Source organism: Homo sapiens, chromosome 14 (assembly GCF_000001405.40).
Source record: "Homo sapiens chromosome 14, GRCh38.p14 Primary Assembly".
Lineage (NCBI taxonomy): Eukaryota > Metazoa > Chordata > Mammalia > Primates > Hominidae > Homo > Homo sapiens.
The window spans coordinates 74,024,483-74,042,105 of record NC_000014.9 but is presented as its reverse complement, the minus strand read 5'-3'; the positions used below and the strand labels follow the sequence as shown (position 1 = coordinate 74,042,105).

The 17,623-nt window shown below is 41.6% G+C and overlaps 1 protein-coding gene across 24 annotated transcripts in view; it reads right to left on the bottom strand.

The window, feature by feature from the left end:
• Positions 1-17,623, bottom strand: part of BBOF1 (basal body orientation factor 1) — a 63,516-nt gene that overhangs the window by 40,759 nt on the left and 5,134 nt on the right. For 18 of the 24 annotated variants that reach the window (XR_007064048.1, XR_007064049.1, XM_011537171.3 and 15 more), the window contains 3 exons: positions 12,857-12,922; positions 7,935-8,078; positions 1,461-1,541 (listed from right to left, as the gene is read on the bottom strand). Coding sequence is in view for 18 of the 24 variants with exons in the window: in XM_011537171.3 (XP_011535473.1) it covers positions 1,461-1,541; positions 7,935-8,078; positions 12,857-12,922 (291 nt within the window). In the remaining 6 variants the exon portion in view is untranslated. The remainder of the gene's footprint in view (positions 1-1,460; positions 1,542-7,934; positions 8,079-12,856; positions 12,923-17,623) is intronic. The other 6 variants (XM_047431779.1, XM_047431781.1, XM_017021662.2 and 3 more) reach the window with 1 other exon arrangement.

The window sequence follows — 17,623 nt, the reverse complement described above, 5'->3', positions numbered from 1 at the left end:
CCCAGGAGTTCGAGACCAGCAACATAATGAGACCCCATTTCAGTTTTGTTGTTGTTGTTGTTGTTGTTTGAGACAGAGTCTCACTTTATCACCCAGGATGGAGGGCAGTGGAGCAGTCTTGGCTCACTGCAACCACTGCCTCCTGGGTTCAAGCAATTCTCCCGTCTCAGCCTCCTGAGTAGCTGGGATTACAGGTGCACACCACCATGCCTGGCTAATTTTTGTATTTTTAGTAGAGATGGGGTTTCACCATGTTGGCCAGGCTGGTCTCAAACTTCTGGCCTCAAGTGATCCGCCCACCTTGGCCTACCAAAGTGCTGGGATTACAGGAGTGAACCACCACACCAGGCCCAGCAAGACCCCATTTCTACAAAAAATAAAAATTAGCTAGGTGTGATGATATATGCCTGTAGCCCCAACTACTTAGGAGGCTGAGGTAGGAGGATTGCTTGAATCCAGGAGGTGGAGGTCAAGGCTGCAGTGAGCTGTGACTGAACCACTGCACTCCAGCCTGGGCGACAGACAAGACCCTGTCTCAAATAAACAAGCAATCAAACAAAACCTCATTTGCCCCACCCTCAAGTGCCTACATTCCTACCAATTTCTGAAAGAATCTATTTAATTATTCCCTAAGAATAAAAAGTTAAAGAAAGGATTAAAATAAAGAACAACCATGAGGCCTCTGAAAGGATTCTGTAGAAGTGTTCCAGTGTACTTCCCACAATTTGGAGAGTTAACTTCAGAAACACAGAAATTAAGTTGGAGTTGGAAGCTGTGTTGTGCTAAGGAACTTTTTTTTATTTGAGAAGGAGTCTTGCTCTACCACCCAGGATGGAGTGCAGTGGTGCAATATCGCCTCACTGCAACCTCTGCCTCCTGAGTTCAAGCAATTCTTCTGCCTCAGCCTCCTGAGTAGCTGGGACTACAGGCATGTGCCACCATGCCCGGCTGATTTTTGTATTTTTGTAGAGATAGGGTCAGGCTGGTCTCGAACTCCTGACCTGAGACGATCCACCTGCCTCGGCCTCCCAAAGTGCTGGGATTACAGGCGTGAGCCACCGTGCCCAGCCTAAGCAACATTTTTTATTAACATCTTTAGCTCGGCTTGACTAAGGAAACATCTTTGCACACATACGAGAGTGATTTCTCCACTCCCATCTTCCCTATATAATGGGAGTACACATAGCTTTAGTCTCACCAGGGGAGTATCAAGCTGAGGGAGACATGTCCCAAAGCCTTCAGAAGAGGACAAGAATCTCTGAATGAGAGAGAAAACAAGGACTAGATATTGAGATTTCTAGAAGGTTTTATTTTCCCTCATTGTATTGTGCTATAATTTGGTAACAATCTTCTAATCTTCTATTAAGATACCAAATGGAAGGCTGATGTTTCAGAATGCATATAAATACACTTATGTTCTAGTAAACAAAACATTTTAAATTAACCCTAATAATCTGTACCTTTTCTTCAAAAAATCTGCTTTCCAGTCTTCTAAGAGTCTCCTGATGTATCCGCTCTGTGTTTCTTAAATTCTCTTTCAGCTAAAATTAAAATAACAAACAAACAAAAATGATCAATAGAAAATGGGGGTCATTGAGCACATTCTCAGAAAATTATCAATAAGGAAATGCTTTCTGTTATATGTTACCTCTTAATCCTGAACACACAGAAAAAATCTGTGTTCCTGCCTCCGAGTACCAAATTTCCCTCAATCTTCTACAGATTGATAACATTAGTACAGTAGTCCTCCTTATGTGCAGTTTCACTTTTTGCAGTTTCAGATAACTGCAGTCAATGATTTTTCAAAAATATTAAGAGGCTGAGCACGGTGGCTCACACCTGTAATCCCAGCACTTTGGGAGGCTAAGGTGGGTAGATAGCTTGAAGAAGTTTGAGACCAGCCTGGGCAACATGGCCAAACCCTGTCTCTACAAAAAATACAAAAATTAGCTGAGTGTGGTGGTGCACACCTGTAGTTCCAGCTACTCCAGAACTAAGGCTGAGGTGGGAGGATCACTTGGGCCCAAGAGGCAGAGACTGCAGTGAGCCCACATTGCTCCAGCCTGGGCAACAGAGCGAGACTAGTCTCAAAAAATATATATATATATGTTTTGGAAGAGAGAGAGACAACATTAACAAGACTTTAAAAATTAGTATCAACATACAAGTTTATAGAAATATGTACTATCCTACTATCCCATTGTATGTGGAGATGGATTTTTCATCTACCATTAGACTCCCTCAAAAATCTATAAATTAATAAAGCTTTCAAAAGGTAAGTAGGCAGCACACACCACAAACCTTTAAAAGTTCATGTTCATTAACCCATAAATTCTACTAAGAAGTTATCCTAAAAACTAAAGGTAGAGGTTGGGTACAGTGGCTCATGCCTGTAATCCCAGTACTTTGGGAGGCCGAGGCGGGTGGATGACCTGAGATCCAGGAGTTCCAGACCAGCCTGACCAACATGGTGAAACCCCCGTCTCTACTAAATACAAAAAAAAAAAAAATTAGCCAGGCGTGATGCCACATGCCTGTAATCCCAGCTACTTGGGACGCTGAGGCAGGAGAATTGCTTGAACCCAGGAGGCAGAAGTTGCAGTAAGCCGAGATTGCATCATTGCACTCCAACCTGGGCAACAAAAGTGAAACTCCGTCTCAAAAAAACAAAAACAAAACTAAAGATATAGAAAAAGATTTCATTCCTTAGATGATCCCCACAGTTTATAATAGTGAAAAATTAGGAAAAAGTCCAAATGTCCAACAGCAAGCAACCAATTAATAAATTAAGATATATCTACCCAATGGAATTCCGTGCATCTATTGAAAAAATGTTATAGAAAATATTTAATGGCATTGAAAAATGTTCACAATATATAAAGTGAAAAATCAGGTTAACAATTTATATCATGACTTCACTTTTGTAAAAATAACATATAGCTATTTTTAGAAGTTTCTACAGCAAAGGAAAAAAGAAACTATACAATCGTTACATAGTGTAATTGTAAGGGATGGATCATTTTTATTTTCTAATTTTATCAGCCAAGCTAAATTTGCTGTGATGAGTATTATCATTTTGTCAAAAGAAGACTAAAACTATTTAAAAAATAATAACTGCAATCTAACAATATATGCAATATATGCTTCTTTGGTTAATCGGGTATATGGAAAACATTTTTTTCTTTTTCATTTCTTTCTTCTTTTTTTCTTTTTTTGGAGACAGGATCTGGCTCTGTTTCCCAGGCTGGAGTGAAGTGATTTTTTTGTAGAGATGGTGTTCTGCCACGTTGCCTAGGCTGGTCTTGAACTCCTGGGCTCAAGCATTCTACCCACCTTAGCCTCTCAAAGTGCTGTTATCACAGGCATGAGCCACTGTGCCCAGCCAGAAATAATTTTTTTCTTTAAAACATACACTTTGAATACCTTTTGAGAATCTCAATTTAGTTTTCTTTGTAATTTGTATAATGAATTCTACATACACAGTATAATTAATTTTCTTTCCTAATGTATACCTCCTAATTTAAAATTCATGGACCCTCACACCTGCCACAATTCTGCCACATTTGGGATTCCACAGAACCACCTTATTCGTTCCCATAAGCCAATATCTTTTGAATTTTAAGTCTTCCTCAAAGGCCCACTTTGAAAGGTCTGAAATCTATTTCTCCACTAGGTGGCAACACTGTTCTTTAAAAAAATTACAACATGGGCTACTTGAATATGCACTAGTTCTTAATTCATTTGAATTCAGAATGTATACCTGTACATAGGCTATTTTAAGAGTTCATGAAAAGTTAATTATGTTGATTCAATCTACAGCATTTTCATATAAAACATAACTTGTATTCCTTCCAGAAAAGTTGACATTCCTTATGTTTTTAACAAAAGACCCGCTCAGCATTTAGCAAAGATTAATTCAACATTACTATGTATCTTGTATTTCAATGAATACAAAGGACAACACTGTTCACACCTCAAGTGAGTGCAATCTATTAGGGGAGATAAGATAAATGATAAATAAATATAATATCAAGACAATATCTTTAGGTATATAAAAAGACAAGATAAAAAAGACAGAATGGGGTATAAAAAAGATAGAAAATGCTATGGGAACATACAGAAAAGAAAATTATTCCTTTTTTTTTTTTTTGAAACAGAGTTTCGCTCTTGTTGCCCAGGCCAGAGTGCAATGGCACGATCTCAGCTCACTGCAACCTCCGCCTCCCAGGTTCAAGCGATTCTCCTGCCTCAGCCTCCCGAGTAGCTGGGATTACAGGCATGTGCCACACCAGGCCCAGGTAATTTTGTATTTTTAGTAGAGACAGGGCTTCTCCATGTTGGTCAGGCTGGTCTTGAACTCCCGACCTCAGGTCATCCGCCTGCCTCGGCCTCCCAAAGTGCTGGTATTACAGGCGTGAGCCACCATGCCTGGCCGAAAATTATTACTTTTAAACAGGACTCCAGGAGAAGACCTCATGGAGAACACGAATTTGAGCTGAGCCTTTGAAAGACAGGTGGCTGGGCATGGTGGCTCATGCCTGTAAGCCTAGCACTTTGTGAGGCCCAGGCAGGCAGACTGCTTGAGCCCAGGAGTTCGAGACCAGCCTGGGCAACAGTGAAACCCCATCTCAAAAAAAAAAAAAAAATTAGCCAGGTGTGATGGTGCGTGCCTGTAGTCCTAGCTACTCAGGAGCCTGAAATAAGAGGATCACTTGAGCCCAGGGAAGTAGAGGCTGCAGTGAGCCATGACTACACCACTGCACTCCAGCCTGGGTAAAAGAGCGAGACTCTGTCTCAAGAAAAGAAAAAAAAAAAAAAAAAAAAAAAAAAAGAGGCCAGGCGTGGTGGTTCACACCTGTAATCCCAGCACTTTGGGAGGCCGAGGTGGGCAGATCATGACGTCAGGAGATTGAGACTATCCTGGCCAGCATGGTGAAACCCTGTCTCTACTAAAAAATACAAAAAATTAGCCGGGCATGGTGGCACGTGCCTATAGTCCCAGCTACTCAGGAGGCTGAAGCAGGAGAATCGCTTGAACCTGGGAGGCAGAGGTTGCAGTGAGCCAAGATCATACCACTGCACTCCAGCCTGGGCAACAGAGCAAAACTCTGTCTCAAAAAAAAAAAAAAAAAGAAAAAAGAAAAAAAAAAAGATAATATTTTAATGGGCCAAGATCTACCAGGAATATATTTTAGATAAAAGACAGTGTGAACAATGAAACAAAGAGACAAGATTTCAGGGATTAATGAATACTCATTTTGGGTGAATTAAAGGAAGTATGGAGGTGGATGGGTGATGTAGTAAAAGGAGATAATAATGTTCCCAGATAGGTACAGGGTCTTGACTTTCACATTAAGGTGTGTGGACAATATTCTGTTTACAGTGGAGGAACACTAAAGACAGCTTTTTTTTTTTTTTTTTTGAGACAGAGTCTCGCTCTGTCACCCAGGCTGGAGTACAGTGGCATGATCTTGGTTCACTGTTACCTCCGCCTCCCAGGTTCAAGAGATCCTCCTGCCTCAGCCTCTGGAGTAGCTGGGACTACAGGCACATGCCACCATGCCCGACTAATTTTTGGATTTTTTAGTAGAGACAGGGTTTTGCCATGTTGGACAGGATGGTCTCAAACTCCTGACCTCAGGTGATCCACCTGCCTTGGACTCCCAAAGTGCTAGGATTACAGGTGTGAGCCACTGTGCCTCACCGAAAGACAACTCTTGAAGGACGTGATCAGAACTGTGATATTTTAGGCCAGGTGCAGTGGCTCATGCCCACAATCCCAGCACTTTGGGAGGCCGAGGTGGGCAGAGCACCTGAGGCCAGGAGTTCTTGACCAGCCTGGCTAATGTGGCAAAACTTTGTCTCTACTAAAAATACAAAAAATTAGCCTAGCACGGTGGCGTGCGCCTATAGTCCCTGCTACTTGGGAGGCTGAGGCACCAAAATCGCTTGAACCCAGGAGGTGGAGGTTGCAGTGAGCAGAGATCGCGCCACTGCACTCTAGCGTGGGCAATAGAGCAACACTCCATCTCAAAAAAAAAAAGAACTGTGATATTTTAAAAGTATTCCTGTAGCTGTGTATACACTGGACTGCAGTGGTATGGTAGTTTTAAAATGTGTCTATAAGTTCTTTGACACTCTTCTCTTCAAATGATGGTATCTAATTCCCCACTGCTAGGAATGTGGGCCAGACTTAAGGATTCACTTTTAACTATTAATAATAAAATATGGTGGAAGTAATGCTATGTGACTTTGAAGGCTAGGTCATGAAAAAGATAGCTTCTGTCTACATCCCGCTCAGATTACTCACTCTGGGTGAAGTCATCCACCAAGTTATAAGAACACTCAAGCAGCTTATAAAAGGGCCCATATGGGCTGAGCATGGTGGCTCACGCCTATAATCCAAGCACTTTGGGAGGCCGAGGTGGCCAGATCACTTGAGGTCAGGAGTTCCAGACCAGCCTGACCAGCATGGTAAAACCCTGACTCTACTAAAAAAAAAAAAAAAAAAAAAAAAAAAATTAGCTGGGGGTGGTGGTGCACGCCTGTAATCCCAGCTACTCGGGAGGCTGAGGCAGCGAGAATCGCTTGAACCCAGGAGGCAGAGGTTGCAGTGAGCTGAGATCGTGCCACTGCACTCCAGCCTGGGTGATGGAGTAAGACTCTGTCTCAAAAAAAAAAAAAAAAAAAAAGGGCCCATATGAGGAGAGGTCTCCCACTAATCACCAGCACCAACTTAACAGCCACTTGAATGTGCCTCCTTGGAAACAGATCCTCAAGCTCCAATCAAGCCTTAAGATAGATGACTGAAGCCTTTGCTATACTAAAGTATTTCCCCCAGAATCAGCAAATGCTACAAATAAGGACCATTTTTTTTTTACAGAGAGCTGCACACCACTGTTTATATAATTTTTACCATGTGACGTGCTATTTTATGCACTTTACAAATATTAACTCATTTAATCCTATAACAATTCTATGAAATAGTAACTCTTATTTTATTTTACTTTTTTTTTGAGACATGGTCTTACTGTCACCCAGGCTGGAGTGCAGTCGTGCAATCACAGCATACTGCAGCCTCAATCTCTTGGGCTCAAGTGATCCTCCCACCTCAGCCTCCCAAGTTGCTGGGACTATACGCACGAGCCACTGTGCCTGGCTAATTTAAAACATTTTTTTGTAGAGTTGGGATTTCACTATGTTGCCTAGGCTAGTCTTGAACTCCTGGCCTCAAGAGATTATCCTGCCTTGGCCTCCAAAATGCTGGGATTACAGGCATAAGCCACCATGCCTGGCTGAGATACTAACTCTTACTATCCCATTTTACAGATAAGGAAACCAAGGTATGGAAGAGTTAAGTAACTTGCCTATAGTCACAAAGCTGATTTCAGCTACTTGTTCCTGGCACTCCCCTGTGCCACTTATTGAATTATCAGTAATGTAATAAAACTATATTCTAAGCCGAGGAAAGTAAGAGAAAGAGCACAGAAAGGTAACATAAATTTTCTGAAAGTACTCAGTGTTTCTCACCCTACTGACCCCTACCATAGAGCCTTCTAAATTTCTCTAAAACTATCATTCATCAGCCTAAACATTTTTCTTTAGAAGTCTGCTACTTTTTCCCTGAGGTTTTCTAAGAACTTGTAGTTTGTTTCTTACTGAAGTCAATCCAAAGGGTTACCTGCTGATAAACATAGGAGGATGTGTTGTCTGAGATTTGGTGAGTTCCCAAGGAAATCAATGCTTAGAAAAAGAGAAGTCTAAAGTCAAGACCTTTGGCATCCAGTCTGTCTTCTCCTTTTTCTCTCAAATAATTTCTAAAATGTCAAAGAGAGTTCTTTGCCGTCTCACAGGAGTAAATGTTTGTGAAGGCTTCTGTAGGCATTAAATAGTTAATTCTAATTTCCTTTTTGTAAAAAAGGAATGAAACTTACATCATCTAACTCTCTCTCCACTTGGATTTTTCTCTTCTGGAATTGTCTTACTGCTTTCAGCTCTGTGTGAATCATGCCAATTTCTTTGGCTTTTTGATGGAACTGTCCCTCTAGTTCATTAATTTGCCTGGTATACTTTTGTTCCTGTATTCAAAAAAGAGGTAAACGAGTTAGGAAAAAGAACAGAAGTCCCACAAAGTCATGTTTCATTTGAAGCCTTACGCCATTTGCATATCTTCTTTGAAGAAATATCCCCCCTTTTTTCTATTTTTATTTATTTATTTATTTATTTTATTTATTTATTTTGAGATGGAGTCTTGCTCTGTCGCCCAGGCTGGAGTGCGATGGCGCGATCTTGGCTCACGGCAAGCTCCACCTCCCGGGTTCACGCCATTCTCTTGCCTCAGCCTGGGACTACAGGTGCCCGCCACCATGCCTGGCTGATTTTTTTATATTTTTAGTAGAGACGGTGTTTCACCATGTTAGCCAGGATGGTCTCGATCTCCTGACCTCGTGATCCACTCACCTCGGCCTCCCAAAGTGCTGGGATTACAGGCATAAGCCACCGCACCTGGCCTTTATTTTATTATTATTATTTTTTTGAGATGGAGTCTCACTCTGTTGCTCAGGCTGGAGTGTAGTGGCGTGATCTCAGCTCACTGCAACCTCTGCCTCCCAGGTTCAAGCAATTCTCCCTGCCTCAGCCTCCCGCGTAGCTGGGATTACAGATGCCTGCCACCACGCCCAGCTAATTTTTGTATTTTTTAGTAGAGATGGGGTTTCACGATGTTGGCCAGGCTGGTCTTGAACTCCTGACCTCAGGTGATCCACCCGCTTTGGCCTCCCAAAGTACTGGGATTACAGGCATGAGCCACCGCGCCCGGTCCCCCTTTTATTTTTGCATAAAGTTTTCATTTCTGTAAAAAGATACCATCTGCATTGAATAAGAAAAAAATTTTGGAAAAGTTTCTATATAGAAAGGAAAAAATGCAGATGTTTACTAAAAAGGGATATGAGAAGACCTAACACACCTTTTATCTCTGACATAACCCTAATACCCGAAACTAGTTAAAATTAATTGGCTAGGAGTCAAAGGGAGTGTGGTAAATATCCCTAATAAAGAGGAAGGTAGGAGAAAGAAGGAGGATGAGGAAGGAAGAGGAGGGAGAAAAAGGGAAGGAGACATAAAAGACTGAGAGGAAGAGAAGGAGAAAGAGGAGGAGGAGAGGGAAGTGAAAGCAAGAGGACAGAGAAAAGGAAGGGGGGAAGAAGGAAAGGCCAATAACAACAAATGAACAAAAGGTACTAAAAGAAATGCAAATGGCCTTCAAATGTGAAAAAAAAGTCCAATCTAGCTCCTAATAAGAGAAATGTAAATTGGGCCAGACGTGGTGGCTCACACCTGTAATCCCAGCACTTTGGGAGGCTGAGGCGGGTGGATCACGAGGTCAGGAGTTCAAGACCAGCCTGGCCAACATTGTGAAACCCCACTTCTACTAAAAATACAAAAATTAGCCAGGCATGGTGGCACGCACCTGTAATCCCAGCTACTCAGGAGGCTGAGGCAGGAGAATCAATTGAACCTGGGAGGTGGAGGTTGCAGTGAGCTGAGATCACACCATTGCACTCCAGCCTGGGTGACAGAGCAAGACTCCGCCTCAAAAAAAGAAAAAAAAAAAAAAGAGAGAAACGTAAATTGAAAAATACCCATTTCTCACCTATCACATTGCAAAAATCAAGTTTGAGGCCAGGCACAGTAGCTCACACATGTAATCCCAGCACTTTGGGAGGCCAAGGCAGGTGGATCACTTGAGGTCAGGAGTTCAAGACCAGCCTGGCCAACATGGTGAAACCCTGTCTCTACTAAAAATACAAAAGTTAGCCAGGTGTGGTGGCAGGTGCCTGTAATCCCAGCTACTTGGGAGGCTGAGGCAGGAGAATCGCTTGAACCCGGGAGGCGGAAGTTGCAGTCAGCCGAGATCGTGCCACTGCACTCCAGCCTGGGAGACAAGAGCGAGACTCTGTCTCAAAAAAAAAAAAAAAAAAAAAAAAATCAACTTTGAGAATAGACTCTGTTGGTAAAGCTGTGAGGAAACAGGCAATCTCATGCATGGCTAGTGGTATTACAGAACAGCACAATATCTATAAATGGATATTTGGCAATACCTAGAAAAATTATATATTTTTCTTTGGTCTAGCAATACCACTTACAGTAATCTATCCCAACGATATAATGGCCAAAATGTGAAAAGATACATACATGAAGCTCTTTACTGGCACATTCATTGTAATAGAAAAAGACTGGAAACAACCCAACTATCCATCAAAAAGGGACTGCTATGAGCTGTATGTGTGAACCCAAAAAATCCTATGTTGAAGCCCTAATCCCCAGTGTGATGGTATTTGGAGGTGTGACCTTTGGGAGGTAGTTAGGTTTAGATGAGATCATGAGGGTGGAGCCTCCATGATGGGATTGGTGAAGAAAGAGATGGAAAAACCAGAGCTTTCTCTCTCTGTCAAAAGTAAGGATCCAGCAGGAAGCGGCCATCTGTGAACCAGAAGAATGGCCTCCACCAAGAACTCAACCATGCTAGCACCCTGACCTTCTAGCCTCCAGAATGATGAGAGATACATGTTTGTTGTTTGAGCACCTCAGTCTATGGTATTCTGTCATAATAGCCTGAACTAAGACAGGGACCATTTGAATAAACTATGATATATCCACACAATAATCATCACACAGCTATAAAAGGGAATGATGCCAGGCGTGGTGGCCTACACCTATAATTCCAACACTTTGGGAGGCCAAGCTGGAAGGATCGCTTAAGGCCAGGAGTTCAAGATCAGCCTGGGTAACACAGGGAGACCCCATCTCTACAAAAAATACAAAAATTTGCCAGGTGTAGTGGTACTCGCCTACAGTTCCAGCTACTCCGGAGGCTGGGTGGGAGGATCCCTTGAACCCAATAGTTTGAGGTTACAGTGAGCCATGATTGTGCCACTGCACTCCAGCTTGGGCAACAGAGGGAGACCCTGTCTCAAAAAAAAAAAAGAAAAGAAAAGAAAAAGGGAATGTCTCTACATACTGCTATGGAGTGATCACCAAGGCATACTGTTAAATAAAAAAAGCAGGTGCAGGTTTATGTATATTGCATGCTACCTTTTATCTAAGAAAGATTTTATATATAACCTATATATATAAAATCTCCTTATATATAATCTCTCTCTCTCTATATATATATATATATATGTTTATGACTTTTTTTTAGCTTTTCTGATAAGGAAACAATTTTTTAAGCAACCTTTTTTTTTAAAGAGAGGATAAAACACAAAATAAATAAAATGGTTTTCTACAGGGAGAGGGAGAAGACAGTGTGGAAAAGACATGGATAGGAGTTGGATTTCTCAGCACTTTGGGAGGCCAAGGCGGGCGGATCATGAGGTCAGGAGATCGAGAGACCATCCTGGCTAACACAGTGAAATCCCGTCTCTACTAAAAATACAAAAAATTAGCCGGGCATGATGGTAGGTGCCTGTAGTCCCAGCTACTCGAGAGGCTGAGGCAGGAGAATGGTGTGAACCCAATAGATGGAGCTTGCAGTGAGCAGAGATTGCGCCACTGCACTCCAGCCTGGGCGACAGAGCGAGACTCCATCTAAAAAAAAAAGTTGGATTTCTCGACGTGCAACTTGTTTTACAGACTTTAGAACCATGTAAATATTTTACTTAATTTTATAGGCAAAACTAATTTTTTAAAAAGCAACCTCTAAAAAAATTAAATTAAAAAATAAAAATAAATAAATAAAAAGCAACCTCTAAGTCAGGTGTGGTGGTGTATGCCTGTAGTCTTAGCTACTCGGGAGGCTGAGGCAAGGAGAACTGCTTGAGGTCAGAAGTTGAAGACCAGCCTGGGCAATATAGCAAAACTCCCATATCTAAAAAAATTAAATAAATACAGTAGAATGAAAAAATAAAAAGCAACCTCTAAAAATCAAAAGCAAAATGTGTTGTTGAGTTGGTGGCATAACCTCATAGAAAAGAATTTCAAATGGTTCTTAAGCCTTGCAATTTTATCATAGATCCTTACTGGTATATATCCTAAGGGAGAAAAATGCCCCCCAAAATCTTAAACTGTTTTCAGCAATTTATTTTTGGTGGTAATATTAGCATTCTGAGATTGATATATTGGGGTTTACGCAACTAGGTAATTATATTGGTATCAGTAAGAATAAGGACTTTTGGCAAGGGATAAAGGAGATACAGATAAAGTTAAGTAAAAATTCTATATTCCTGCATGTAAACTGAAAGTATTAGTATAGAGTCATGATCTATTTTAATATTTTAAAAACGTGTATCTCCTAGCTCCATCCACTGAAAAGCATTAGAAACAATAACAAATTCAGTATCAGGAAGCAATCTTAATATTATATGGTTTTTTACAATAACTTATTTTTATAATATGTTGTTTTTAAACTTTTTTTTTTTTTTTGAGATGAAGTTTCACTCTTGTCACCCAGGCTGGAGTGCAATGGTGCGATCTTGGCTCACTGCAACTTCTGCCTCCCAGGTTCAAGCAATTCTCCTGTCTCAGCCTCCCGAGTAGCTGGGATTATAAGCATGCACCACCATGCCTGGCTAATTTTTAAATTTTTAGTAGTGACAAGGTTTCACCATGTTGGCCAGGCTGATCTCGAACTCCTGACCTCAGGTGATCCGCCGCCTCAGCATCCCAAAGTGTTGGGATTACAGGCATGAGCCATCATGCCCAGCCTGGTTTTTTGAATTTCTATACAATCAAGCTTTAAGGTCATTAGCCTGCCCAGAGAACTTACTCACTCACTGTCATTGGGTCTTAAATACCTGAGCTTGCCAGAAACCTGACCATCCAGTAAGTGGAGTATTAGTACACATAGATAACTCACCAATTTATCCTTCTCCTCTTGGGCTTTTTCCTTTGTTTCATTTAATTGCTGTTTCAGTTTTTCAATCTGTTGAAAATCAAAATACAGGGTCATGAAGATAAAGAAACTGCTCTATGTCTACCTTTATTAAGTAGACTAGTTTCACACAATACTAAAACCAATATGGCAAAAGAGGTGAGTGAGGTGGAAAGAGAAGAGGGGACAGGAAATTTCCCATACCTTCAACCTGCTATTGCCAGTTTCTAAAACCTGGCTATCATCAGAAGTACCTGGTCAACTTTTGTGTGTGTGTGTGTGTGTGGTTAAAAATAAAAGCAACATTAATACCAGCCTGACCAACATGGAGAAACCCCTTCTCTACTAAAACTATGAAATTAGCCAGGCGTGGTGGCACATGCCTGTAATCCCAGCTACTCAGGAGGCTGAGGCAGGAGAATCACTTGAACCTGGGAGGCAGAGGTTGCAGTGAGCCGAGATGGCGTCATTGCACTCCAGCCCGGGTGACAGAGCAAGACTCTGTCTAAAAAAAAAAAAAAAATAGAGATGGAGTCTTGCCATGTTGCTCAGGCTGGTCTCAAAGTCATGGGCTCAAGTGATCCCCCTGCCTTGGCCTAAGTGCTGGGATTATAGGTGTGAGCCATAGCGCCTAGCCAAGATGAGTTTCAAGAAGAGTACAAAAAATTCCCATACTATTCACCCATATACATTAATTTTGCCGCATTTGCTTTCCCTCTATTTGTGTGTGTGTGTGTGTGTGTGTGTGTGTGTGTGTGTGTGTGTGTATTTCTTTAGTGGTAAAGGGTAATGTCAATTTCAAGATGACCTTTTACCCCAGAAGACTTCAGTATCTATTTCCTTATTTGTTTTTCTTTCTTTTTTTTGAGACAGAGTCTCACTCTGTCGCCCAGGCTGGACTGCAGTGGTGCAATCTTGGCTCACAGCAACCTATGCCTCCTGGGCTAAAGCAATTCTCCTGCCTCTGCCTCCCAAGTACCTGGGACTATAGGCATGCGCCACCACACTTGGCTAATTTTTTGTATTTTTTGTAGAGACAGGGTTTCACCATGTTGGCCAGGCTGGTCTCGAACTTCTGACCTCAGGTGATCCACCAGCCTCAGCCTCCCAAAGTGCTGGGATTACAGGCATGAGCCACTGTGCCTGGCCTTTCAGTATCTATTTTTGAAGAAAAAGGGCATTCCCTTTTACAAGCACTATAAAATTATAAAGATCAGGAAGTCTAACATTAATATACTACTATGTAATATATACTCTATATTTAAATTCTGCTACAATTATCCCAATAATGTCCTTTATTGCAATTTTTTATTTTTCTTGTCTACAATACAACCCTTGATCATGCGTTGCATTTATCTGTCATGTGTCTTAGTCCCCTTTAATCTGGAACAGTTTCTTGGTCTTTGTTTTTAAATTGACTTTTTAAAAAGAATACTGGCCAGGGTTGGGCTTAGCTGATGCTTCTTCATGAGTAGATTCAGGTTGTATGTTTTTGGTAGGTTATATATAGTACCTAAGTGATGATGTATCCTTTTCAGTACATCACATCATTAGGTGATTGATGCTAATTTTAACCAGTTGGTTAAGGTTGTGTCTGCCCACTTTCTCCACCTAAAAGTTATTATTTTTTCTTCTGTGATTATTAAGTAATTTGTGGTACAATCTTTTGAGACTATGCAATTATCCTCCTCATCAAACTTTCACCCAGTAGGTTTTAGCATCCATTGATGATTCTTGACTGATTCAGTTATTACTGTGATGCCAAATGGTGATTTTTCTAACTCCATCACTCCTTGGAAATTTATTAATTGGCATTCTTCTGCAAAAAAAAAAAAAAAAAAAAAAAAAAGCTGGGCGAGGTGGCTCATGGCTGTAATCCCAACACTTTGGGAAGCTGAGGCGGGTAGATCACCTGAGGTCAGGAGTTCGAGACCAACCTGGCCAGCACAGTGAAACCCCGTCTTTACTACAAACACAAAAATTAGCCAGGCGGGGTGGTGGCACAACTGTAGTCTCAGCTACTCAGGATGCTGAGGCAGGAGAATCCTTTGCAGTGATCCTTTGAGGTTGCAGTGAGCCAAGATCGCACCACTGCACTCCAGCCTGGGTGACAGAGCGAGACTCTGTCTCAAAAAAAAAAAAAAAAAAAAAAGGCTTCCTTTCTCCCTTATTTATTCATGTATGTGTTTATTAGTAGTACACACTCGTGGATTTTTATTTCATTCAATAGGTTATAATCTATTACTGTTGTTATTTATTAGGTCAGTGCAAAAGCAACTGCAGTTTTTGCCATTTTTTTTTTTTCCTTTTGAGATGGAGTCTCACTCTGTCCCTGAGGGTGGAGTGCAGTGGCGCAATCTCAGCTCACTGCAACCTCCACCTCCTGGGTTCAAGCGATTCTCCTGTCTCAGCTTCCTGAGTAGCTGGGATTACAGGTGCACACTACCACACCCGGCTAATTTTTGTATTTTTAGTAGAGACAGGGTTCTGCCATGTTGGCCAGTCTAGTCTTGAACTCCTGACCTCAGGTGATCTGCCCACCTCGGCCTCCCAAAGTTCTGGGATTACAGGTGTGAGCCACTGCACCCAGCCATTTTTGCTATTATTTATTAGGTTGGTGCAAAAGCAATTGTGGTTTTTGCCATTCTTTTAATGCACCAACCTAATATTTTGATTGTCCCAGATTTGGCCAATGGAAGCCCCTTCAAACAAGGCCATGTCCTTTAAAATTTTTTATTTTCTGGCACAATAACATATTCCAGACTCTTTTTTTTTTTTTTTTTTTTTTTTGAGATGGAGTTTCACTCTTGTTGCCCAGGCTGGAGTGCAAAATGGCATGATCTTGGCTCACTGCAACCTCCGCCTCCTGTGTTCAAATGATTCTCCTGCCTCAGCCTCCTGAGTAGCTGGAATTACAGGTGCCCACCACCACACCTGGCTAATTTTTGTATTTTCAGTAGAGATGGGGTTTCGTCATGTTGGCCAGGCTGGTCTCAAACTGCTGACCTCAGTAATCCACCCGCCTTGGACTCCCAAAGTGCTGGGATTACAGGCATGAGCCACCGCCCCCAGTCTCTCTCTTTTTTTTTTTTTTGAGACAGAGTCTCACTCTGTTGCCCAGGCTTGACTGCAGTGGCACAATCTTGGCTCACTGCAACCTCTGCCACCTGGGTTCAAGCAATTCTCGTGCCTCAACCTCCCAAGCAGCTGGGACTGCAGACACGCACCACCATGCCTAGCTAATTCTTTGTATTTCTAGTAGAGATGGGGTTTCACTCTGTTGGCCAGGATGGTCTCAAACTCCTGGCCTCATGTGATGCACCCCCCCCACCCCGCCACTCAGCCTCCCAAAGTGCTGGGATTACAGGCATGGGCCACCATGAACAGCCCAGCCTCATGTTTTATATTCCCTGTTCCAGTCCTGAAATCAACCATTTCTCCAAGGAATGCTGGTTTGTTTTAGAAGGGAATCTGAGTAGCTTTTTAAACTAAAGACTTGTTGACATGGTTGTTGACACAAGTGAGATACTATGTACAATGTTTTAGACCACCTTAGGAAAAAATCTAGATATTCTAAAAAATAAACTGGGACAATCCTAAATCACATAAAACTGGTGTGACATTTAATGAGATTATTCTGTGATTAATTCAGTACAGCATTAAATTCTCTTAAGGGGAATCTCCTAATTTTGTTCATAATAAAATAGTTTTCAAAACACATTTCATTTCTATTATTTCTATAATTAACATGACTATAAACAGTTTAAACAAAGTTTAACAACATAACATTTTTCTAGTATATAGCAAAATGAGTAACAAAACTATGGGAAAGCTAGTTAATGAGGATATATTTAGTCTACTTTGTTTCTTCCTCCCAAGGTTGTTTCTTTTGGTTTAATGGCAATCCATGATTATAAAAATTACCCACCTGTTACTGCCAGATGCTGCCCTTTGATATAAGGAGGCAGATGAGAATCAGGAAGTACAAGTGATACTGATGTAGACCAATAACAATGAGCTATTACAAGCCACAAAACAAAGCATCTAAGTAACACATTTGGAAATTATTTCTATGGTTGACTAAAAAAACTTACTTTAGAACAATACTTTATAGAGGGCAATTTAATAATACCTACTATTAAAAGAGTAATTTTAAAAATAAAAATTGGCCAGGTTTTGTGGCTCATGCATGTAATCCCAACACTTTGGGAGGGTGAGGTGGGCGGATCACTCAAGGCCAGGAGTTCCAGATCAGCCTGGCCAACAACATGCCAAAACCCCGTCCCTACTAAAAATACAAAAAATAAAATAAAATAAAGATAGAAATTTCTGGACCAGGTGCTATTGCTCATGCCTGTAATGTCAGCACTTTGGGAGGCTAAGTTGGGAGGATTTCTTGAGCCCAGGAGTTCGAGGCTAGCCTGGGCGACATGGCGAAATCCCATCTCCACAAAAACTACAAAAAAATCAGCCAGGCATGGTGGCTCATGCTTGCAATCCCAGCACTTTGGGAGGCCAACGCGGGTGGATCACTTGAGCTCAGGAGTTCAAGACCAGCCTGGGCAACATGGCGAAACCCTGTCTCTACCAAAAATACAAAAAATTAGCCAGGCATGGAGGTGCGTGCCTGTAGTCCCAGCTACTTGGAAGACTGAGGCAGGAGGATCATCTGAGCCCGGATGTCGATCCTGTGGTGAGCCGTGATCATACCACTGCACTCTAGACCAGGCAATAGAGAGAGACCCTGTCTCA